The sequence below is a fragment of the Homo sapiens genome, chromosome 10, assembly GCF_000001405.40.
Source record: "Homo sapiens chromosome 10, GRCh38.p14 Primary Assembly".
NCBI lineage: Eukaryota > Metazoa > Chordata > Mammalia > Primates > Hominidae > Homo > Homo sapiens.
In genome coordinates, this window is record NC_000010.11 from 105,119,829 (window position 1) to 105,145,172 (window position 25,344).

General features: G+C 40.7%; 1 protein-coding gene across 2 annotated transcripts in view; it reads left to right on the top strand.

The window, feature by feature from the left end:
• Positions 1-25,344, top strand: part of SORCS3 (sortilin related VPS10 domain containing receptor 3) — a 623,953-nt gene that overhangs the window by 478,539 nt on the left and 120,070 nt on the right. For both annotated transcript variants that reach the window (NM_014978.3, XM_011539542.2), the window contains one exon: positions 19,569-19,658. In NM_014978.3, coding sequence (NP_055793.1) covers positions 19,569-19,658 — 90 coding nt within the window. The remainder of the gene's footprint in view (positions 1-19,568; positions 19,659-25,344) is intronic.

The following is a 25,344-nucleotide window of genomic DNA, read 5'->3' on the forward strand; positions in this document are numbered from 1 at the left end:
GATGATTTTACAGGCTTATAGGTAGAAGGGACTTGCCTTGTCTCAGATGAGACTTTGGACTTGGACTTCTGGGTTAATTCTGGAATGAGCTAAAACTTTGGGGAACTTTTGGAAAGGCATTATTGTGTTTTGAAATGTGAGGACATGAGATTTGGGAGGGGCCAGGGGCAGAATGATGTGGTTTGACTGTGTCTTCATCCAAATTTCATCTTGAATTATAGTTTCCATAATCCGCATGTGTTATGGTGGAGACCTGGTGGGAGGTAATTGAATCATGGGGGCGGTTGCCCTCATACTGTTCTTGTGAGAGTGAGTTCTCACAAGATCTGATGGTTTTATAGAGGCTTTTCCTCCTTTACTTAGCACTTCTCCTTCCAGCCGCCCTGTGAAGAAGGTGCTGTTCCTCCCCTTCACCTTCTGCTGTGATTGTAAGTTTCCTGAGGCCTTTCCAGCCATGTAGAACTGTGAGTCAATTAAACCCCTTTTCTCCTTTCTTAAGAAGTTTAATTACCCAGTCTTGGGTATTTCCTCATAGCAGTGTGAGAACAGACTAATACACTTTCTCTTTGAGTAAGTCCATCCCATCCCCTTTTACAGTGTCAGTTACTATGCAAATGCCAATGACCCCAATGTTCCCTGCTCCTCTCAGCATAATGCAGAGACTGGGAGGCTCTAGCAAGGGGTCGTTCTTTACAGGATGCCCATCAATCCCTTAAGCATGGCAATCTCCTTGCTCCATTCAGAACTCTACTGTGCATGCCCCTTATAAATTACTAAGACTTGTTTCTTCCCAAGAGATCTAATGAGGCTCCATGGAAGTTACAATACCTGTTGCTTGCTAGGTCAATTTGGCAAAGAATATTTTCCTTTAATCTCAGAGAACGGTTCTGTAATTTGCTACATATTATAAAGTAACTATTTGCCTTTATAATAAAATATGAATGGGTCATGTCTAGCACAGGAGTATTAAATTGTTTTCATTTTATGTATCACCCCTGAGTTATTGGTAGTAGCTCCATAGAAGGCTGTGTTATTGTGGTTTGGTAGAAAAGCTTCTATTACTATTAGCGTCTCCATGGGCATGAGAAGTAAGGGTGGTGGTAAGCGTGCTGTGCAGTTCATTTTGCAAGAAGGGTGGCACTCATGGTGTTTAATTATTCAGGATGCTTATATGGAGGGAGCCAGCCTGTGAGTTCTGGTCAGGAAGGCAGATGTGTTATCCAGGAGACTACAAGAGTTTCTATCATCAGCTCAAAGGAGTGAGATCAGCTATACACTCTCAATCTCTTTCACTATTTGGAAATCAATTTCCTACCTCCAAAGCAATGGTTATTTGGAGTGTTCTTTCTACCTAGCTTCACCACCAATTTTACTCACCAATCAACAAACAGAAAGAATTGTTGTTATAGTGGAAAACGGACCTTGCAATTATTTCACATCAAATTTATGTCCAGCATGTGTGCATTTTATTTTATTTAATAAAACTTTAATCTTCACAGGATCTCAATATGACAGATATTATCTTTATTTTTCTATGGAGGAAACCAAGTTTCAGTGAAATATAGGTAATCACCCATGGTTGTATAGCTCAGGAAATGGCAAGGTCAAGGATATGACCTCAGGGCTGTCTGGGTTTATAAAGGATGACACAAGAGGACAATGATTGATTTCTCATTTCGTTTTTCTCTGCATTAGCACCTAATAATTGGTATTCCCAGATACTTTTCTAGATGACTGTGAAAGTGAAATAAGCAGATGTTGCCCCCATCTTGGTAGATGTTAGTGGCTGCAAAGACTTGCTCCATTCCCTATTCAGTGGACTCTTTCTCAGGATCTGTTTCAATTTTGTTTCATATCAGAAACTTTCTGCATCATTAACCAAAGAAAGGCTTAATGGGATTCAATACAATGTATTCATGCCTGAGCCTCTGAGAGCTGTCCCTCAGATATACTTGGGGGATTTACTCAAACACCCATCCCTGGGACTTCCCGTGGGGACTGGGTGGCAGCGTGGAGAATCATCATGACATCCACAGCTCTGCTCTTCTCCAGCCCTTTCCTCCTCCCTGTGTACGTCTTGCCATGCATTATGCATTTGGAGTGGGAGGAGGGGCTGCCTTTGGGTTCCATTCCAGGACTCAGAGGAGCTGTTGAGTCATGACCTCACTGAGTCTCCCCATTTTCCTTCCCTTCCACATGCCAGCAAGTCTTCCACACCCCCTCTGCTAAGCCCAGCTCCCTGGAGAATTCCTTTTCTGGGTCCTTCTCCTATTAAAGATAATTACACTGCTGTAAAAACAGCAGTGCTGATAATGAGGGAAGTTGGGCTGTTGACTGAAAAGTAGATGATTTAGTCCAGTTCTCTTCCCATTACCGCTCTAATTAGAGTATATCTCTATGATTTCAGAGTTTCAGCTTTAAAAAATTTTAATCACTCTGCCTATAACTCTATGACCAGCTAATGGAGTAAATAATCATTTTGAATTTCTGCAAGCAGCCTTTAATAATCTGAATCAGAATCCTTTAAGAATTCTGAAACCCCCTCATGGTCAGACAGAATAAGGACTTCTTGGAGTTTCAGAGCAGCAGAGACAGATGTTAACCAATCAGCTTGATGTGATTGAGGATCTACTATGTACCCAGTACTGTGACTGGTTCTCTCTGTGACAGAGGTATTGATTGACTGACTGATTCATTCATTCATCCATTCATTTAATAATCTTGTATTGAGCACTTAATATGCTCCTGATACTGTTCTAAATGAAGGGCATGTGATAGTCACAAGACGGAGAACGTGTCAGTCCTCATTTTGCCTTGTCTTGGTGAGGAGATAAAGCTGTTTGACCAGACACTGTTCATAAACAATGCTCAAAAGCATTTAAGAAATTGCTAGACTCTCCAGGACAGTGCTTCCCAGCGTGAGGGAGATCTACAATTAAAGAAGATATCCTGGAGGAGGCAAGGATCATGGTAGTTTTCATAGCAGCTAATTTACTTGAGGGGCTCAGCTTGAGGACCATTCAGTGCCCCAAGGGGAAGTGACTCTTGGAAGGAGACAGTGCAGTTGGATGGATGTGCAGGTGAAGGGAGTTGGCGTTCCTGGGTTTAAGTCTGGCCTCATCATTAACTCATTGGGTGATCTTGGGCCATCACCTTTCCTCCCTGAAGCTCAGTTTCCTTGTGGCAAAATGAAAAGATTACATTAAAGAAGGGCTTCCAAATCTTCTGTTGTTGTTCTTGGAGAACTGCCTTCCAGGCAAAACTGTTGAAGACATTCCAATATATAAAATAGATACAGTTAGAAGAGATCTATATTAAAGAGGGTGAGGGGCCGTATGAGCTTCACCACCCACCCAGACTCTTCATCCCTTTGGGGACACCCCAAGTCATCTTTGCAGAACTTAGAACAGCATAGAAAGTTTCAAAGCAGCGGACTGTATGACACCAGAAGTTCTCTTCTAACCCTAAAACTCCACAAGTTGTCTTGCTCTACAGATCGCTCCATTTAGTCAGACATAGGAAAGGGATTGCTGTTCAGAGGTATTGCCTCAGTTCATTTTTCCAATGTCAGTATCAAACAAAAAAGATACTTGGGATGTACTTAATTCCTCAAGCAAGTTGCTGAATCTTTCCTTCCTTTCTTCATTCCATTTACATCTACTTGGGGTATAATATGGAGATAATGCAGTAAAAAAGAAATAAAAATCCAAAAAGTAAATAAGAAAGTTATGTTCCCTGGAGATTATGCTATATATAAGAAATAAATATGTAAATAAGAAAACCACAGTTCCTGCCATAACAGGGTTTATAGTCGAGAGAGGGAGAGATACTACATAAGCAAACCAATAAATAAGAATGGTAATTACCCACTATGATAAATCTATGAAGAAATAAACATAATTGTGAGAGACAATAATAGGAGGGAGGGCACTTCATTTATTCACTTATTCTGTCAGTCTCCCAACAAATATTTCTTGAGCTACTGCTATCCAGAAAGCAAGGGGCCTCATTTTGGAGATTTTGGAGATCAAGGCAAACACTAGTATTTTTCTCCTGGGAGCTTGCAATTTAGATGGATTTTCATCTTTTATAGTTATTAGGAAACAAAAATAAAAGAATATAAAAACATAAAAGACAATTATGTGTGTGAGTATATAAAATATCCCTAGATTTTGCTTTTGAGACTAGGTCCTATTAAGCGATCTCATGACTGGCGGATCCATGCATACTCTTCCTTCCCCCTTTCTAAACTGGGAGTCAGAAGGTCTGGATAGAAATCAATCCCTGCAATTTATTTTTAACTTCTTTCTCCTTAGCCAGGATTGATTTTTGTCTTTGTGATCAATGGCACAGAGAATAGCTCCACAGCCCAAGCTGCTGTACAAGCACTTGGTCTGGTCAGCTCCATGTCTATTGAAAAGAACATTATAAGCTGATTATGAAAGTGATATAATGAAGATGTTTAAAGGATGGGCCCGATTACCCCTACTTTCCTGGGGTGGAATGCTTACAGACAGGGGGCTGCTGTGAGCAAGAACCTAGAACTGTCAGGAAGGCAATGTGGCAGGGCATACGGCCTGCACCCAACAGACAGAGCCTGGTGAAGCAGGGAAGAAGGAAGGGCATTGGAATTAGCTTCTTGTTTGCCAGCCTGACTCCCTTTCTCTCTTTTTAGCTTTTCTTTTTCTTCCTTCTACTATTTCATCTTTACTATACCAACTGCTATTAGATTTGGAACTGCAAGCAAACATCTGTTACAAAAAAATACATTAAAAAGATCAGCTTTTCCCTCTCTGCATTTCTTGGGCTTTAAAATTGTCTGATTCTTTAATCTCCATGCTTTCCTCCTTCTCTTCTCTTGTTTTCTTATAATCCAGCTTGTGTTTGATGGGAACATGAAATTAGCCACTTCCCACCTCTCCCTCTAGCCTTGTAACCTCTCGAGGCCAGGCAAGATTGCTTCCTGTTTCTTCTGAGAAAAATGTTCTCGGAAGAGACGTACACCTTGTAATAATGTGCAGGGGTAATTCCACGGAATGCAATTAGAACAGAAAGTCGGCTGTACCCAAGGCCTTCTGTCTGATTCTCTGGAATAAACGCTTTCAGTTTTACTGCCTGCCCAGGTAGCGACTGTTTCTAGATTGCATCAGGAAGAAATGATCAAAGTGCTCTTAATATGATTGTATTCATTATTTCATTGTGCTACATAGTTTCTTCTTAGGTGTTCTTTGTCTACGGACGGGGTCAGGAAGGGGTGGAAGAGATGGCTTCCTTACTTCCTCTGACATATCTGCCACAAGTACTTGTGAAGTTGATTGAATGTAGCTATCCTGTACAAGAAACACTCTCATTCTCACTATAGTTATTTTTAAAGATTTGTCCTAAACCTTCTTCCCTGGTTTTTACCTCCTGGCTAATTTTCTTTATTATTGAATAACCTGTAATTCTTAGAGATTCAATTACATTAGTAGTAACAACTGACACGAATTAAGTGGTCAGCATGAGCTAGGCTTATGAATTAGTGAATTTAATTGTTATTACAGCTTATGTGGTAAGTACAACTCTTCTGTTTCACAGAAGAGGCACTGAAAGGTTAAGCCATTTTCCCAAGACGACACAGCCAGTAAACAATGGAGTGGAGATTTTGATGTAACCATTTTGGCACCAGAGCCTTCTTTCTCTGTCACTGCATGATTCTCCTCCTTAAACAAGAAATATTCAGAACAACCTACACTTTCTTATTTGCTGGAGGCAAGTTGGGTCAGGAACTGTGTAAGGGACAATGAGTAAGTACATAGAGCTTTAACACAAAGTAGCTGCTTAAAACATGCATGTTGCATCACTGAATATCCACACACACACACACACACACACACACACAAAACAGGCAGCTTAGAATCTGAAGATACTGCTTGAAGAAGACCTTCGGCTTAGGAAACCAGGACCAAGGAAGTGAGTGGTTGTGGACCTCAAGCGATGTGACGTTTCTGAGTCCCTACTTTGTGTCAGCAGATGTTGGACCTCACATCGTGAGTGTGGCTGTATGTTTCAAGGTCCAGAAGCACTTAAATGATTGTCCCAAAGACATATCATAACCAATAGGTGAGGGTGGGGGTTGGAATCCAAGTCTAGGCTTGGTTGCTGTGTTCCTTGTTAGTTTTCACAACGAAGGACAAAATAAATAACTTAAAAGATGCATAAAAATAAAATTTCTGGTAGCTCAGCTATAACTCTTGGGCATTTTCTTCAAGCAAAACTTCATTCCTGCTATGAACTGCCTCTGCAAAGATAAACCAATAAATAAAATTATACTAATAAGAGTATTGAGCAGTGTCATATACTTTTTGTTAAATATGTCAAATAGAAATGAAGTAGAGTGTTTGTGTCATGTAACACACAGCAAACAAACAAAAGTCTACACACACTCACTATTTCTTTCCATTCCCCCAAAACTACCTCTCCTGGTACCAACAACTCACCTTGGCACTTCTGCCCTGCAACCTCTCCGGCTTGACTGGTAATCTTTTCTTCCTTCAAGTTCCCTCCCTACCTTTTCTCTCTGACTCTCCATTTGTTATGTAGAACAATTCAGCCAGGTCCTGGTTTCTCAAATCTTCCAAACTCAAATCCATCATCACATCCAGCAGATAAAATGTCCTTCAGTGTTTAGAACCTACTCTACTCTTAAGGCAGTGGGAGTATAAGTCACACTTATTTATAGATTACATACAACACTGTGGGTATGTGCACACATATGTGCATGTGTGTATGAATGTCACATTGTGGAGGGTGGTCTAAGAGAATCGTTATGCCTGCAGTATCTGGAATCTGGCAAACATGAGTTTAAATTTCAGTTCAGCCCTCTGCTAGCTGTGTGACTTTGCTGTCTTAGTTGTCCCTTACTTAGTTGTCCCCTTGTGTCTTAGTTGTCCATCTACAAAATGGAGATAGGATGAGGGTGGATTTTATTGTAATTGTAGAAGGAGCATGAGAACACACTGAGTAAATTGTTGTGCTTCTGAGGAAAGGATTTTTGTAGCATCTTATCTTCACTGTGCTGAGTACCATGGCATTATTACTGGCCTTATATTGTCATTTGTACATCTTGTATGTTGTTTGCTTTCCCAAAGAGATGGTGAACTCCATGAGGTGACAGCTCCATGACCCATGGTACTTAATACAGTCTGGTCACAAAGGTACTGAACCAGTACTCGCTGATTGACAAATGTAAGACATAGTGGAATGGTGGCCGGTATCCATAATGAGATTTTTAAACATGATTAACGTTCAAGGAATGATCTAAATTTGGCCAGACCCTTAATTATTACGTGGATTCAGCAGTGGGTGGGGAAGAACATCTTGTACTCTGCTTCCCTGTTTCCTGCAGGAAAGCAAGCTCTTTTATAGCCCCTGATTTTCGAAGGCATGGTGTTGTCAACCACGCAAAGGAGTATTTGATGTAAAATTACTACCCATTTGTAAAAGTTCATGCAATTGTCTTTTCTTTGTATTTTACTTATTCTGACTCTGGAAACACAGATTTTAGAAGCCTAGCAAAGTGAAAAGAGCCTGGAGTTGCAAGTCAGAAGCTTTGAGCTTGGCTTTAAGTCTTACCTTTTAGTACCAAGATGACCTCAAGCAGCCTTCCTAGGCCTCAGGCTCCTTAATTTTAAAATGAAGGTGTAATTAGACCTCACCTGCAGGGTTGTGCTCAGATCAAATGAGATTCAGTACAATAATGAAAACTAATAGCACAGAGTACTCAACAAATATTAGTTGTTATGACCTGAGTACTAGGTACTAAGAGACTATTATAGATGAGTAAGAACATTATCTACCCTCAAAGATATTACAGTACAGCAAGAGACCCCAAAAGGACCTGCTTCCCTCTAATTTGGAACAACAGCTGGTAAGTGCAACAAGCAAGCCACAAAAAAAGAGCCCTGGGAATCAGAGGAAGAAAAGATGAACTCCAACTGGGAAATTGGGGTTAGGGGAGCTTAGTTAAGGAGAAAGCTTTTGACACGAGCCACTGTGAAATTCACTGATGCTGAAGTGATCTGGGTCAGGCTAAGTCCCTCAAATAACTTCTCCTATACTAGCCATTCTTTGGAAAGGCTCTGGCGTAGACACTTTAGGCTCATTCAGGGCTGCACCATGTAGTGGTCATTGTCAGGGTTTAGAGACACAAGTTCAAATCCAGGCTCTGCCACCATGGAGCTGAATACCCGATGCATGTCAGTTAAATTATCAGTAAAGCAGGTTTCTTGGTATTTCCTTCATGGGGTCATTGTGTGCAAGAGCAGGCAGTGCATATTACATGGTAAGCATAGAGCCTGGCCCTCCAACAATGTTGCTTGTGCTGGCAGAGGACAGGAGAGGCATGACCCGGAGAGCATGATGGGGAAGCTCCAAGAAGTAGCAGTTGGCATTTCACAAATATTCATGGCTCTTGGGGAGGCAGCAGTGTTTTCTGAGAAACAGCTTGACAGATGGCTTAAATCCGTCTACTGTTGTCCCAAAATTCACTCATGAGACATGCAAATCCCATGTTGGTGAAACTTTGCTGTTGTATCTAGCAGCTCACGTGTATCTCCAAGCCTTCCAGAAATCCCATGCCCCAAAGAAGCGTCCCTAATTCTCTAGAAAATGAATGATTTTGTTTGCCTTGCCCTTTCAGGATATTTAATGTATTTTGAACATGTCAATAAAATTAATTATTCTCTAAGCAGCTATATTCACCTGTCATTCATCCCCTGTGGCTGAAGATGTTTCTGTTCTATAGCTGTGGCCATCATTTTCTGCTTCTCCTTCTCATATTATGTATTGCCTCTAGCCCTTCCTTCTGTGCATAGTTGAAGCTACATCGGCAAATTTCAGTGCCCCACGCAATCATTAGGATGGGAATTTATGGATCAACAGCATAATTTGTCAGTGAATACACTTCTAAAAGCTTGTGTTCCTGGGAACATACCATAGGTCTATTATAACAATCTAATCATTGTGTTTGTAGAGCATTTTCTGGTTACATGAAAGCATTTTATTATGTTGTTTATTCACAAGAATCTTGTGAGAGAAAGATAACTACAACTAGTTCCTTTTTTATCTGAAAATAACCCCCAAACTGCAAGAGATGGGTTACAATGCCTAAAATTGCACATCTAATAAATGATGGAGCTGAAAATAAAATCACAGATGTTACAATGTGAAGGAACAGGACCTTCCACCTTTTCCCTTCTCCTCTCTCACCATTTTGATTTTATTTTCTGAAGTACTGGGATACTATAGAAAAGAAAGAGGCTAGTACCTAGTTTGAGTATATTTCATTTAAATAATTGACCTCATAGTGTCCACCCATAAAAAGGAATTAGGCCATTTGATGTATCAAGTTGAATGAAAAACTTATACAAGTATTGGACAACCATATAAGCTAGATCTCTTGCAATATCTTCTTTAACCTCCTCTCAGCTCCATTTTCTTTCTCTTTTCTTTCTTTCTTTCTCTTTTTTTTTTTTTTTTTTTTTTTTTTACAAAACCCTACCAATCCACAGTCCACAAGGAACAGAACCATTTTTGAGCACAGAGAGGGGGCAATGTTTTGATAGCAAGTTTGAACATTTCTCTTTAGAGGTTTCATGGGCAGTGCCTTCCTTTTCTTTCACCTGAAGCTCTGGCGTCCTTATCTATAACACTGAAAGTATTAGCTCTTATTACATTATTTGGGAGTCTTCAAATGCTCCTGAATTTTGGACACTAGGATGATAATGATAATTCAAGTTCGTATCTGTCCTTTTGTATTTCTGCCCTTATCTTTGCTTTTTTACCCACTCAAATACACACACACACACACACACACACACAAATAGGAAAGAGAAAGTGCAAAGGACTTCCATTTTGAAAGCTCAGGTGAGCATCCTAAGAACTTCTTCCCCTCCATCTAAATCATGAAAGCCAGAACACAAAGATAAGTCTCGAAGCCATTAATGGTCAAGTCTCTTGGAGATCTCTATCTGTGGTTTCCTCTAGGAATTCATCTTGGCTGAGGGCAAGGAGAATTTCTATCCTTTATCCCTGATCAACTGGGATCAGGTGGCACACATGGCTACCCCAGCACCTCTTGAAGCCTCCAGGTTGCATACATAAACTGCCACCATAGTCAGTCTCCAGAAGACCTCTAAGATGTTAGACTGGTGCAGGCATTTTTGCCTCCAGTTCTGCTGGCTCAGATAATATGCATTGAGTACGTGCTATGTGCCAGATGCAAGGCTAAAGCTCTTTCTATATTGAATTATATTTGATCCTCATGATAACTTCTCAGTTGATAGTACTAATATCTGTTTTCCATGAGAGAAAATTAGGCAGGTTAAATTACTTGTACAAGGTCACCAAACCAGAAAGTGGTATGAGCGGGATTTAAACACAGGTCTGAGATCCCAAATAATGTGCTCTGTTACTTACTATGCAATTGGAAACTGATTGAGTCCAGACCCTTTATTGTATTTGAAGGAACAGTGTCAGAGGGTCAGGCATGCTAATTCTTCTTCTAGTCTTGTGTGTGGTCTAGACCCAAACTCTTTGTCCCATGCTTCCTAACCCACCCCCTTTCTCTGCCATACTAGCATTAACAAAAGGCAGTGAAGGGTACAAGAAGTTGCTCGGCAGGGCTGCTGAAAGTGGCAGTTGTGCTGTCAGTATTTATTGACCAGTGAGTGTGCTGACAACCTCAGCATGCATCTTCCTTTCAGCATCTCCCCTACACACACACACCCAGAGCAATATTGGCTTCAGTGTCAACTATCTTATTATCTCATGTCTATTCTTGGTGAAACTATTTGGGGGCTATTATGTTAGGGCACCAATAAAAGATTTTATGTGCAAATCTGTTTCAAAGGAGGCTCAGCCATAGTATGATGTTGGGTAATAGACCCAGTCTTTCTAGGCAGATAAAACTGCATCAATATTGCAGAGCCTCAAGGACATAAAATGAGCAAACACCAGTTAGACAAACACTAAATTCAAAGTCAAACAGTCTAACAGAGGAGATGACATGCTGATAGGATGCCATGTTGTTCCAAATGCTGTACCACACTTTTTATTCTGACTCATAGTGTGGTCCCTAGGAAAGCAGTGTTGGAAAATCAGCTCAAGATGGCAGAAGCAACTAATTCATCCACGCATAAGACTCTAGGGCCAGACTGACATGTATAGCAACTTCCTGATGAAACTTGTAGCTGTTTATAGACTCCTATGGTCCAATATTTGGAAGCCTGTTTTGTTTTATTTTGTTCTTAAGATAAATATGATCTTTGAAGGAATTATGGAAGTAGAGAGAGAAAAGCCCCAAAAAGTCAAGATTTATTATAAATAATATGAACTGAATTAATGAGCAAAGGAATTAGAAAAGTCAATTGTGCATCGTAACATCTTGGCTGATCCTTTTGTTTCTTTAAAGAGGAGGAAACACTGCAGAGGCAGTGTGAGAAGTAACTAAGATGTACCCTTAGAGGTGGTCATTTCTCTTGGCTTAGACAGATTATTCACATAATATTCGATACAGCACAATCCTCTAACTGGAAAAGCTTCCACATGTCATTTCTTATTAATACGACAGCTCTCGTGTAAGCCCAATTATGGTTCGTATTCACAAATTCCCATAGCAACACCAAGCACTTCTGTGCGACAATGTAGCATTGATTTCTCAGAACTTGGAAATTGATAGGAACCCTCACATAGAAACATCTGCCTTGGCCGTGGGTGCATTAGTCTGTTCTTGCATTGTTATAAATACCTGAGACTGGGGAATTTATAAAGAAAAGAGGTTTGATTCGTTCATGGTTTTGCAGGCTGTATGGGAAGCATGATGCTTGGCTTCTAGGGAGACCTCAGGAAACTTACAATTACGGCGGAAGGTAAAGGAGGAGCAGACACATAATATGGCCAGAGGAGAAGCAAGAGAAGAGAGGGGAGGTGCTACACACTTTTAAACAACCAGATATCACGAGAACTCACTATCGCACGGACAGTACCAAGGGAAATGGTACTAAACCATTCATGAGACATCTGCCCCCATGATCCAATCACCTCCCACCAGGCCCCACCTCCAACATTGGGGATTATACTTCAATCTGATATTTGGGTGTGGACACACATCCAAACTATATCAGTGAACATATTTTCTGGGAATTGGAAATGAAGTGACATGGGACCCATTCCCCTCCACATAGAGGTTTGGAAATTTCACATAGCCTGAGGGACCAGCAAAACCTTTAAAAGTCAGATAAACTTGGGTTCAAATTCCAGCTCCACCATTTATTTGTTGTGTATCTTTGAGTATGTTATATGATTTTCCTACACCTGTTTCCCCACCTGTACATAAAATAGAAGGCTAACGTGTACACAGGAATGGTTGGCATATAATAAATGCTCAAAAATATTATTAATATCTTTACCATGTATGGTACTGGTAATGCTATTAACAATAATGATAGTAATAATAATTATTGTTGTGGATATTAAATAATATCATGAAAGTAAAGCACCCAATATAGAATATAAACTCAAAAATATTTGCTTCTGACTCTCTTCTAAGATTACCTATGTCTACTTATAAATTCTAGAAACAGTTTAAGTTTTCTCCTGTGACAGAAATAGGCTCAACTTCTAAATCCCCAACGGGAGCTAGGAAATGACTCAAGGCCCTTTGGTTCTAATTTTTGGGGGCAGATTTCTGTCTTTCCTCCAGGGCAAGCCATCATCCAGAAACAAGGATAAATGAAAAAATAAAGGATCTGTCAGGTTAGGCTTGGTCACAGCAAGAGCGGGAACAAGTCAGAAGAGATAGATGTGTTTAATGGCCAATGCATTTGTCCAAAGGAATCATTTTCACTGGCCAGGAGCCCAATTAAACCTGTAAAATGGAAATCCAGAAAATCAGATTAACGAACCAGTCATTAGTAAGGAAAAGACCCAGCTAATTCTGTGTTTAGCATGACGGATGGGCCCAGAGCAAATAATTGGATGACATTCATCAAATATAAAATAAAAGGTGTCACCGAAAGGAAAAGTGGTAATAATCTTTGGGATTTACAATGCCAGCAAGTTTGCTAGTAAAGAAGAGAAAAGTTCATCAAAACAGATTAATAGTCACTAAACTTTATTTCTTTCTTGTGTGCCAGAGAGCCACAGGATCACAGAGAAGCAGAAAATGCATGCATCAGCCTGCTTTTACCCTAACATTGTGAAGCAGCAAATGCATCAGCCTGCTTTTGTGAGGACTCTGCCCCTGAAGGGCTGTGCGATCTTTGGAAAATAAATTCCTGCTTTTGTGAGGACTCTGCCCCTGAAGGGGTGTGTGATGTATTTGAAAATAAATTCCTTTGACCATCCAGGAACCAGGCAGGAGTTGAGAGTTCTTCACTACATCTGTGTTTTAGTCAGTATCCAATGGAGGAATCCAAACTCAAAGTCTTTCTGCTTAAGCAGATTAATTCCAACAATCTGTTATTCAGTAAGTGAATAAATATTGACCCCCTGCTGTGTACCTGCCTCTATGAGGTGTGCTCACTCCTGGTTAAGGTTTCAGGTACAGACTAGAGTTGGAGAGCCCAGGTTTATAAGGGTTCAGATGTAGGCGAGGGTTAGAAAGCCCAGGTTTATATTCTGGCTGTAACAATGAAAGGCTATATGATGTTGGGCAAATTAGTTGCTCTCTCTCAGCTTCAGTTTTCTGACCTGTATGAAATATTCTTTACATGATAGTTATTATTACTCTTAGTTTTATTACCTTACTTCTGCTCTCCTAAGAAGATATTATTTTCAAAATATAGCACCAGACTAGATGCAGTGGCTCATATCTACAATTCCAGCACTTTGGGAGGCTGAGGCAGAAGGCTGCTTGAGCCCAGGAGTGGCTTTGGTCACTTTGAGACCAGCCTGGGCAACAGAGGGAGACCCAGTCTCTACAAAACATAAAAAAATAAAATTAGTCAGGTATGGTGGTTTTGCCTGTAGTCCCAGCTACTTGGGAGGCTGAGGTAGGAGGATTGCTTGAGCTGGGCAGGTCAAGGCTTCAGTGAACCATGATTGTACCACTGCACTCTAGCCTGGGTGACAGAGTGAGACCCTGTCTCACAAAAGAAAATTTAAAAATACAGCCCGAGTGTCAAAACAGATTTTCCGGGAATGCAAGGAAACAAAACCATAGACATGCATGTCAATTACAGAGATTTTTAAAAAGTTTTTCACAAAAGATGTTGGAATCAAGATAATCTATTGTGTTATTGCAGTGAAATAAGAAAGATGGACAGAGGATTCTTCTTAGTCACAGAAGGAGGAGCACAGGCTTAGAGCCAAACTTTCTGAGGTTCAGATCTGTCTTATCTTGGACAAGTCACTCAAAACCTCTGTAGAGTTGTTATGAGGATTAAATTAGGTAATTTTCATAAAGGCTATGTGCAGTTCTGGAGTGTGGTAGATGTACTCAATTAATGACTGTCTTATTATTTTTATTATTATGTATCCGCTGGTCATCTGCCAGAAGATCAGCTCTCTCAGTCCCTTTCTGCTTATAAACCATGGAAATTTATTTTTCACAGTTCTAAAGGCTGGAAAGCCCAAGATTAAGGCACCAGCATGTTAGATATCTAGTGAAGGCCCGGTGTCTGCTTCCAAGATAATGCCTTGAATACTGAGTCTTTACATGGCAGAAGGATAGAAGGGACAAAAAGGAAAAAAAAAAAAAAAAGAAGCCTAGCTAGTTTTCTCCAGCCCTTTTATGAAGCACTTTTCCTTTCCTGAGGAAGAAGCCCTCATGGCCTAATCACCTCTTGAACGGCCCCAACTCTTAATACTGTTGCAATGGGGATTAAGTTTCAACAGGAATTTAGGAGAGGACAGAAACAATCGGCCCATAGCATTCCATCCATGGCCCCACAAATTTATGTCCTTCTCACATGCAAAATATGTTCGTTTCATCCCAATAGCTTCAAATGTGTTAATTTGTTCCAGCATCAACTTTAAAATCTAGGTCCAAAGTCTCATCTGCGTATCATCTTAATAAGATGCGGGTGAGACTCAAGGAGATTCATCCTGAGGCAGATTCCCCTCCAGCTGCAAGCCTGTGAAATCAAACAAGTTATGTGCCTCTGAAATACAATGGTGGGAGAGGTATGGGACAGTCATTCCAATTTCAAAAGCAAGCAAAAGGAAGGAAGGAATGAGTAACAAGTCTCGGTGAAGTCCAAAACCCAACAGGGTAAACAACCTTAAATCTTGAGGCTTAAGAATAATTTTCTTCACTCCATGTCCCACCTTCCAGGCCATGGGGTGAGGATTGGGTCTCCAAGGCTCTAGGGGACCCTGCACCCATGGTTTTGGGTAGGTATAGCACATGTAGTAGCTGTGACAGATTAGAGTCCATGCAGCTGCACCAGAATGTGGCGATCAGAGACTTGAGGTAGTACTGGACAGACAGCCCCAACATTCCATGGGAGCCTGGCTCCTCCCTTCAAATTGTTTTCCCCTCAAGGCCCTGGCACTCTGGGCCTGTGATGAGCATGGCAGCCTGGAAGATCTCTGGTATGCCTTCTGGGCCATTGTTTCATTGATCTGGTGAGTAGCATCTGGCTGCCTTCTAGCTGTACTAATTTTATCAATGGTCCCTTGGCCACACCCTTGGTGTTCTCTCTCAAACTTGCCTTTTTAAACTTTACATGGCCAGGCTGAGAATTTTCCAAATCTTTAAGTTCTGTTTCCCTTTCAATTGTAAGCTGCCTTTAATTCATGTCTCTCTTCTTGCGTTTTACTATAAATGGTCAAAAAAAGCCATGCAGCACTCTCCACATTTGCATTGATAGTTCTTCCAGATATCCTTGTACACCGCTTACAATTTCTGCCTTCTACAAATCTTTAGACACAGGCACGATTAAGCCAAGTTTTTTGCCGCTTTATAGCAAGGATGACCTTTCCTCTAATTTCCAATACCTTACTCCTCATTTCCATCTAAGACTTCAACAGCATTACCTTTACCGTCTATATTTCTACAAGTATTCTGTTCATGACCAGGTAAGTAATTTCTAAGGATACTTAAGTTCTTTCTACAGCTCCCCACTTCTTCTGAAGAAGGGTCCTCACCAGAATTGCCCTTAATGCGCTGTTTAATGCAATATAGGGTTTTTTTTCTAGTATTCACTTCAAAACTGTTCATACACCTATTCATTACCTGGTTCCAAAACCACTGTCATATTTTTAGGTATTTGTTATAGCAATACCAATACCAATTCAGTACCAATTTCTGTCTCAGACCATTTCTGCTACTATAGCAAAATTATTTAGACGACATAGTTTATTTCTTACATCTGTAGAGGCTGGGAAGTCCATGACAAAGACCCCTGCAGGTTTGATGTCTGATGAGGGCTTGGTCTTTGTTTCTAAGATGGTGCCTTGAACACTGTGTCCTCACATGGCAGAAGTGATGAAAGGGAAAAAAGAGGGTTAGCTAATTTTCTCTAGCCCTCTTATAAAGCACTGATCCCTTCATGATGGCATAGTCCTCATGTCCCAGTCATGTCCTCAAGGCCCCACCTCTTAATACTGTTGCATTGAGGAGTAATTTTCAACGTTCATTTTGGAAGGGACACAAACATTCAAACCACAGAACCAGCATTGTCTAGGAATGAAGTAGGTCACAACCTTGTAATAAACTATAGAAGAATAATTATAGGAATGTGTGTGCCATGAGAGTGAATGTTGAAAGTGCTATAGAAATGAAAAGAACAAAGTTCAGTAATTGAGAGATAGGAGAAATTAGAATGAATTGGTAGCATTCAAAAACCCTTCCATGAACTCATAGGATTTACACTGAGGTTTAATGCATCAGTTGGATTTTGGCAAGTACGGAGAAGGACACACTCAGGACAAAGGGAGATTGGCAGGATGAAGCTTGGTATCTCTGGGAGATACTACAGTATCAGAGGTACTTGGAGACCCCAGGGCTCTGTGGCCTTCATATAGCCCCTTTATGTTTTGGACCATTCGACAATGCATTTAAACATTTAAAGTATAATTTCTATCTTCATTATTTACTCAAGCACAAACTTTCCTGGGTTGTGTGTGAGCTTTTAAGAGAGTCTGTGATTGTGCAGGGCTCTAATAGACATGGGAGGATGAGTTCTCAAGGCTGCGGGGCTGATCACGCTGTCAAAGGGACCACTCTATTCTCTTTTGGCCGTTGGTGACTTGGAAACCCCAATGCTCCCAGCCTTGCCCTGGACTTCTGATAGGAGGTGGAGTGTGCTATCATTTTGTTCCCTGTTGAGGCAGCTGGATCTTCCAAGGAGAAGCCCCTTTTAATTGATGATCTCTGGCCAGCATTCAGGAATGGGACTTGCCTTCTCGGATGCTGGTCTGCTTTCCCATGAATGTGTTTGGTTCAGGGTAAGGTTCAGGGTGACCTATAGAGAGGTGGTTATTAAGCATATGATAGGTGACCAGATGATATATTTTGGGAGTATAAAAGCTTTGTCATCAGGTATAAGGACTCCTTTGGGGGTGATGAAAATGTTTTAGAACTAAATAGAGGGTCTGGCTGGATCACACACTGTGAATGTACTAAAAGACACCGAATTGTACAGTTTAAAATTATTAGAGTATGTGAATTTCACCTCAAATTAAAAAAAAAACCCCACCTTTCTCATCATTGTAAACACAGAATTCAGGAACATATCTACATCTGAGAGGCAGGGGGTCAGGGCAGGTGAGGAGCACAGAGGTCTATGCAAATTGTTGTTAAAAGTCTAGTTATGAGGTGTTCAAAGTGTGGTTCCCAGACCAGCAGCATTGGCATCACCTGGAAATTTATTAGAAAATTCTTGATCCCCAACTCAGATCTATTGAATCAGAGACTCTGCAGATGGGCCTTAGTAATCTGTGTTTTCACAAGCTTTCCAGGTGATTCTGATGCATGCTGAAGTTTAAAAACTATTGATCTAGTTTCTGGGTTAGCAAGTATGTTTACATGTGTTGGTTTTCTAATTAAATGTAAAACCAAATTAAACAAATACATACAATCATGTGAGAACTAATGGTGACTATGTGTTCAGATCTAAGGATGATATTTTATGCACTTGAGACTTATTTGGAAAAGGAAAAAGACTTCAGAGCAACCTATTGATCTTAATATAGCAACACCCACCTCTAAGCCAACACACAACAATATAGATTCAGAACAGATGTTGTATCAAAATAAAAAAGTTTTAAAGTCCTGAAATACAAGGCAAGAATGATGGTAATTAGATGTGGATGTTTCTCCCTGAAGATCAGGGTGAAAACCAGTCTCTCTTCTTGGTTCACAGCATAAGCCTTTGCACCAAGTTTTTCCAAGTCTCTGCCTTCATGCTGACTCTGACATCTGCTCTACCTGGCAGCGTGTGGTGCCTGCTTTGTGGGCTTCCGATCTGTGCAGAGCAAGGGGTAGCCGTGGGAGATGTCATCTCCCTCCCCGAGTGAGGAGAGATGGGTGGCTTCAGTAGAGAAGTTACAGCTCTTCTGCTCCCAGTAGGGCCTGTGGATGGCTGTCAGATTTGGATCAGACTGGGAGGACTGGCCTGTCTCCAGCCTGTGCTTGGACCTTAGTGAGAATGAAGCATGTGCCTTGGGTAATTGCCTCCTCAGCGCAGCAGCCTGGTTGCTATTGTTGTCCTGCTATTTTCTCTGAACAAGCCATGTTATCTTCTCCTGTGAATATTAATTTCCCCTGAGTTAGGATAATTGGGCAGAGAGCAGCCATCTGCAGAGCCGTGCCATGTTGGCAGGGCTTTTCAGCAGGCCCTGGCCAGAGGACCATTTCTTGGCGTGGTTTCCACTTTCCTCCCATTAAGAATCTATCCTTTCACAAGTGAGGTTACAGGGCTTGTCCCTGAGCCTTCTAGCCAGAGATAACAGAGTTCAGACTCAAACCCAGGACTTCTGAATTTCAAATTTGGAGTTCTTCCTCTAACTTTTGATGTTTTTAAGTATCTTGTACGTGGAAAGAGTCAATAAATATCTGCTCAATACATGGATTTGTAAATATGAAGGAAAGAAATCTGTGCTTAGATCAGAAGTGAGATTACATTTCAAAATAATGAGAGCTTTGAACAATAGTAATTATTCAGATCCAGGAAAAATACATTTGACAATTATGTTATGGTTGGAATGAATTAATAAACAATTCAAAAAGAATAAATAGATCATGGGTGTAGCCCACATTGGTAGCTTCTCTGTTTTTAGTTGAAAATACTTACTAGGTATGTGCCATGTGCAGAGCACAGTGACCAAATAGAGTCAGTCTCTGTTCTGAGGGAGAATCTGCCAGTGGGAAAGATTGTTGTAATTGCCCACCTGTGATCTAAGCACTGTGCAGTGGGAGCAACTCAGAGTGCCATGGGATTAGAGACCCAAAGCCAGCAAGGAATATTCTCTAAAAGGTAATTACAAACCCATTGTGGTTGTTGATAGAAGAGCTAATACTTTCCAACTTGTGCATGATCTGTGGCCTCATCTGATCTCTTTGTGTTTCCCCCACAATCTAGGTAACAACTAGTGGAAGAGCCAGCTACTACGTGTCTTATCGAAGAGAGGCCTTTGCTCAGATAAAGCTGCCTAAGTACTCGTTGCCAAAGGTACTGCATGCACCACTAGCGGTCCTGGGTCCCTCTAGGCAAAGGGAGGGTTGGAGAGGCTGCTTTGTTGGGCTACTGGGAGGTTTTATCTGTTTGGAAGGACTGCTGGCATTTAGACTCACTCACCACCAAGTCGTTTGGCCTCCCTTAGTGGTGCACAACCTGGATTCTGTATTTCTGTCTCAGCTGGGTACCAGCCAAGAGCTTTGATTTCCTGTAACTCAAAGGTCTGGTATAACCTTGGGTCATTTCCCAGGGGCAGTAATGAAAGGAACACTAGCTTTGGAATCTCCTCTGAGGGGCTCTCCCTTTTGCAAAGGGCTTTATCACCAAATAGAAGGCCAAACTCAGCAGGAGGACAGACGCATAAAAGTGCACAGATAAGTCTGGTGGTTTTATTGCTTCTTTCTACATTTTAAGGCTAAATAAAAATGTATTGCCTATGTTTCTACTCCCCCTGCCACCATGAGTAATTAAAAAGGGGTAAATTAATAGAATGTTAATATCAAATGTTGGCATTTTAACTCTTCTATTGAAAAATCATAAAACTTACTTTGGGGACCCCATTCCTTGTGAACATTGGCTTCTGGAGGGAGATGGACCTTAGAACCTCAGTGTGAAAATGGACAGGTTATAATTGCATCACTTAATGAGGCTACAAAGGAGTAAAATCTCAGGTTGGACACATATCAGGTGTAATGTTGCAAAGACTTGGGTCTCTAAGCTGGTACTAAGGAACATATTATGAAAGACTAAATGAGTACAGAGGTGGAGGAATTATGGCATGAGAAAGTGGATAATTTCCTACCCCCAGTTGTTATTATTCATTCATTAATTTATGCATGCGTGTATTCATTCACTCTTTTATGCATCCGTTCAACTATTCTTTCTCCATTTAACTTTTCCTCTGTGAACTAAACTCTATGAGTAGAGTAGTGAATAAGGCACAAATGGTCCCTGTCTTCATGGATGTTATGTTCTGGAAAAAAAAGATACTGAATAAGCAACGATAGGTATGAGAGTGTTACAGAAGTTCAAGGGCCATCTTGACATAAAAGGTGGTTTTAGTCAACTATGGGTAGTGAGGGCAGTTTCCTAGAAAAAGTGATGTTTAAGTTGATACAAGAAAAATAAAGGAGTTAATTCTGCAAACAAAGATGGGGAGAAGCTGATAGAAAATATATGCATAGGCTCGATTTTAAGAGACAGCACCGTTCATTCAACAAACTAGGAAGCCATCTTGAGAGACTGGGTTGCAGAGAGGCTGATAAGGTCAGCAGAGACCATTTTAAGTAGCTTCAGGGGCAATGGGAACCAATTTCTCATTTTATCTACCCTCTCTCTGATCAGAGATAAGCTTTATGGGACCATTGTATAGTATGGTGTTTGCAGGATGTACCCATCAGATATTCTAAACCCAAACAGGAAAGAGATATTCCAGCTTGGAGAAGGTTAGAAAGGGGAAATTCACAGTTATGCTCTTTCTAAAGGAGAATGCCCCGTTACAGTAACCAGAAGGTCTCCCATGTTTCTAAGCCTAGGAAATGAGTTTAGGGAACTTTCCAAGCCATCTCCCTGAGGTAGGGATTATTTTGTTTCTGTATTTGTGCATCTTTTATGTATTTTTAACCTTCTCAGGAAAACCAACCATTCACTCCCCTGGACAGTGTGGCTGCAGGTGGGGACAAATGAGGCCCTGAATTGATCACAACCCTAGAACACTCTGTTAATGATTAGCAACCCCGAGGCAATTTATTGTGGTGGAATGCCATCCGCTTAGTCCCTTTTATAGAGCCTCATCCAGAGCAGCTTCTCATTAATATGAGGGCTGCTGTGAAAATAGCTGGATGGTTATCGATCCCCTTTATTAGCCAGTGCTGGCCCAAGTTTTCATAGTCAAAGCTGAAGAGGTGGGGACAGAGAGGGTGGAGGGAGATTGGTTCTTTCCATTGTTTAAAAATGAAAATGGCTTTTAAGCAAGTTTTGCTGTTCCATGCAGTGCCGTGGATGCTTTTAGGTGGCTTGCTTAGAAACAAAGGCATGAAAAGCTCCCTATCATCATTGCCCTCGCACCTCTGCTCCCAGCTTACATGCTCAGAATATGCTCTCCTGGGGTACTCCATAGCTTTGTAGTGTTTGGCAGAGAATGAAATGAGTGCCATTAACAATGAGGAGCATTATTAGAAGCCATAGCCTTGTGCTGAGCCCTCCATAACTCAGTCCCTGGGCATCAGGTTGGTGCTCTTAGTCCAACAGGCATGAAAAGCACACAGCAGCAGAGGGCATGGGGCAGGTGATAGGGAGCAGGTAACCTAGGGAAAAGACAGGTGAGCTTATGAGCAGAGACCCTGAGCTTTCATTCCAGCTCTACCACTTACTTATCCATGAGCCCAGGTCTTCACATCTGTGAAATGGGGTTAATATTGTTTGACAGAGTTGTGAGGATTTAATGAATGGCTCATTGTTAGTCAAGTGTAAAGTGTTCGACAAATCTAAGGAATGGTTTTGGTCTGGGGGTAATAATACTGAGGCTCTTAACCTGTCCTACATGGAGATCAGTGTTCATAATGGGATCACATTCCAGACTGGCCTTGGACTCAATATTGCCTTAAACCCTCACTTTACCACGCTGAGCCTGATATACCCTCTTTTGTCTCTTAGATTCTGGATTTATTCTTAACTTACTACTCTAATAAATTGTTTCTACAAGAGAAAATATTTTTGTTTCTTTCTGTATGGGATTCAGGTTGAAAGTAAAAATGTTGATCTTTGCCTGAGCCTTGTGCTCCTGGAAAAGAGCCAAGGTTAAGAAATTCTGCACCCTTTTGTGTTTGGGAAATGGCTTATTGCAGACCCCCTCTCTCCATATGACTTGACAAGATTCAGACGTCTGTCTTGTTTACCTATAAGACCAGATTCCCATTCTTTTTCTCATACGTGATTTGCTAAAATGTTGTCCTGCTGGCCAATCTGGACAAAATGCCTGCTAATTTGACTTGCTCAAACTTAAAACCAGCTTTTCTCTTTCCTCAAGCCCCTGAACTTTGACCCACTCTTGAGCTTGTGTAACCAATGGGAGCTGAAGCAAGCATGGCAATGAGGAACAGCCCCCCTTAACAGCCCTTCTGAGAATCAGCTGACCCCAAAGAAAATTTCCTGTTCAATTGCTCGATCATGCCACCTGCACACCCTACTTTTCACACCCAGTTATTTCTAGTTTTTTTTTACTTTTTCCCATAAAAGTCATTCTTTTCTGCCTTCACTTCAAGGTGCTTGCAGGTATTGCAAGTCGTTTCAAATAAAATCTCCTCTTACCTAAGTCTGGGTTCATTTTTTATTTGACAGTAGAATATGGTTAATTCTGTTTTGAATAATAAAAGAGAGGAAAGGGAAATATGTCTTAGAAAATTCATTATAATGATAATAACAATGATATTAACCTTTTGTTTCCTTAGTTTTTACATTTCCCCAAATACTGATTTATCCTTCACTGCTGTGTCACGGCCACACTTCTCAAAAGAGTTATCTGTAATTCTAATCTCTTTTCTTACTCCCTATTCTCTCTTCAACCTGCTGCTGTATATTCTTTGCCTGTACATCCATCTATCCACTATTTCACTAAAAATCCTAGCCATTGCTACAGTGGCCACCTGCATGCCAAATCAAATAGATGCCTCTACATCTTTATTGCTTTTCACCATTCTGGAACATTTGATACTGATGAAAATAATCCATACTTGATACTCTTCCCTTTGGTAGTTTTTTTTTATGATTTGTTTTTGTGGATCCCCTTCTTACCACTCTCTAAATGTTGGTGTTCCTAAGTTGTTCTTGTATTCTGCATGGCTCCTAGGTGACTTCATCCTTCACTTTTTTTCAATAGTGGTGACTCCTATATCTACAACCCCAGCCCATATCTCTCCATTGAACTCTAGACCACATATCCAACTGCCTATTTGATGTAGATCCTCTTAAAGATATCCCATTTAACCAAGGTTGTAAACTAAGCTTCTAGTCTGCACTTTATAGTTCTTATATCCCATCTTTCAACTATGTTTACTTATATACTCCATTTGTTTCTTCAATAGTCTTTTGTTGGATGTCTACCATGTGCCAGATACTCTGGTGAGTATTAGAGATAAAGTGATACATCAGAGAACATAGTTTATGCTCTTTGGGATCTTCTAATGAAAGAGACAGACATCAAACAAATAATTACATAAGAGACTATTTAATTATAATTGTAATGAGTGCTATAAAGGAAAAGAGGAGTTTCATAAATCACGTTATCTGAGGCATTATATATTTGTCCTACTCCCTTCTCCCGCTGTAGATTTTACCTCCTTACTATCTCACCAGTCTGTCTCCTGGGAACCTCATGGAGAACCGGCTTCCTTGGTTCAGGCCCTCCTGAGTTATTATCTGAACTGTTGCTGGGACCTTTTAAGCCTTTCTCCCTGCCTCTAGCATTGCCCCTCTTAAGTCTTCTCTTCACAATGCTTCCGCAATTAATTTGATCATGCAAGGATCCCTATCCTCTCTAACTAAATCTCTGTATATATCAATTCTAATCATGCCTTTCTCTTGCTTAAAATCTTGTGATAATTTTGTGCTATTCTTTGGGCAAAACTTAGGTGTGCCATAGCACCCCTTATGATGTTACCCACTGTCTGCCTCACCTCCTTCAGAGGGAAACTGCTTTTATGCGATACAGATTCCCACACATTTCCTTGACTGTTCCATCCTCATTGTCACCTCTAAGCATTTGTACTCCAGTCACCATTTTTAGCACCTCTATCATAGCACTTAGTCAAATTTGAGAAAGGCCACTAGAGTATGTGATGTCTCCACCATCAGAAGACAACTTCTTGAGGGCAGGTTTTGCTTTTTCTCTATTTCCGTTGTCTGACACATGGCAGATGCTTAATAACATGGGTATTTATATAATGAATAAAGTTACATTAGGCCTAGATTATAAGAAAATGTTTCAACATCAGTGAAGTATTTTCACCATTGTTCACCTAGGAAGTCACAGGTTTTAGTTTTCAAAAGCAATCATAACTCTCCCAAATTATTGTCTTGGCAGGGCAGACATGGAATGTTATTTATAATTGCTTTCCAAATATAAATATGTATGTGATTATGTCTGATGCTTTTCAAGTTCCAAGTTTAGTAAAGTCCCAGTCTAAATTTACTCTTATTGCATTTTCCCTCCTTGGATTTCTCTCTTTAACACCAAAGATTTCCCTGCATGTTCTCAGGACCAACAAGTAAGGCAATGACATATGCTATGGAGCTAAACTGAGGTAACTCAGTTTAAGAAATAAGCTTCATTATTGTTCAGGTCTCTATTGGACCAATTTTAGCTAATTATGCTTTTCTTTTTCTTGAAGACTGAATGTTCTAGTTATTATTGGTTGACCCCATTCAACCATAAAGACCTATTTAGACAAAGGTTATATATTTCAGAGTGTTTCAAAAAGTGATTCCCTGGACTTAGATGCACCAGAATCATCTGGAGGGCTTGTTCAGATGGAAGAATCTAAGGGTCTACTCCAGACATACTGAATTATAATTTCAGGCGGTGGTCAGGATTAGAGGCAGCCAGGTTTGCTGTATGTGCATTTTAGGTTAATGTTCTTAGCACAAGTCTGCATGCTATTAAGATTGATAGGTCATTTTGATG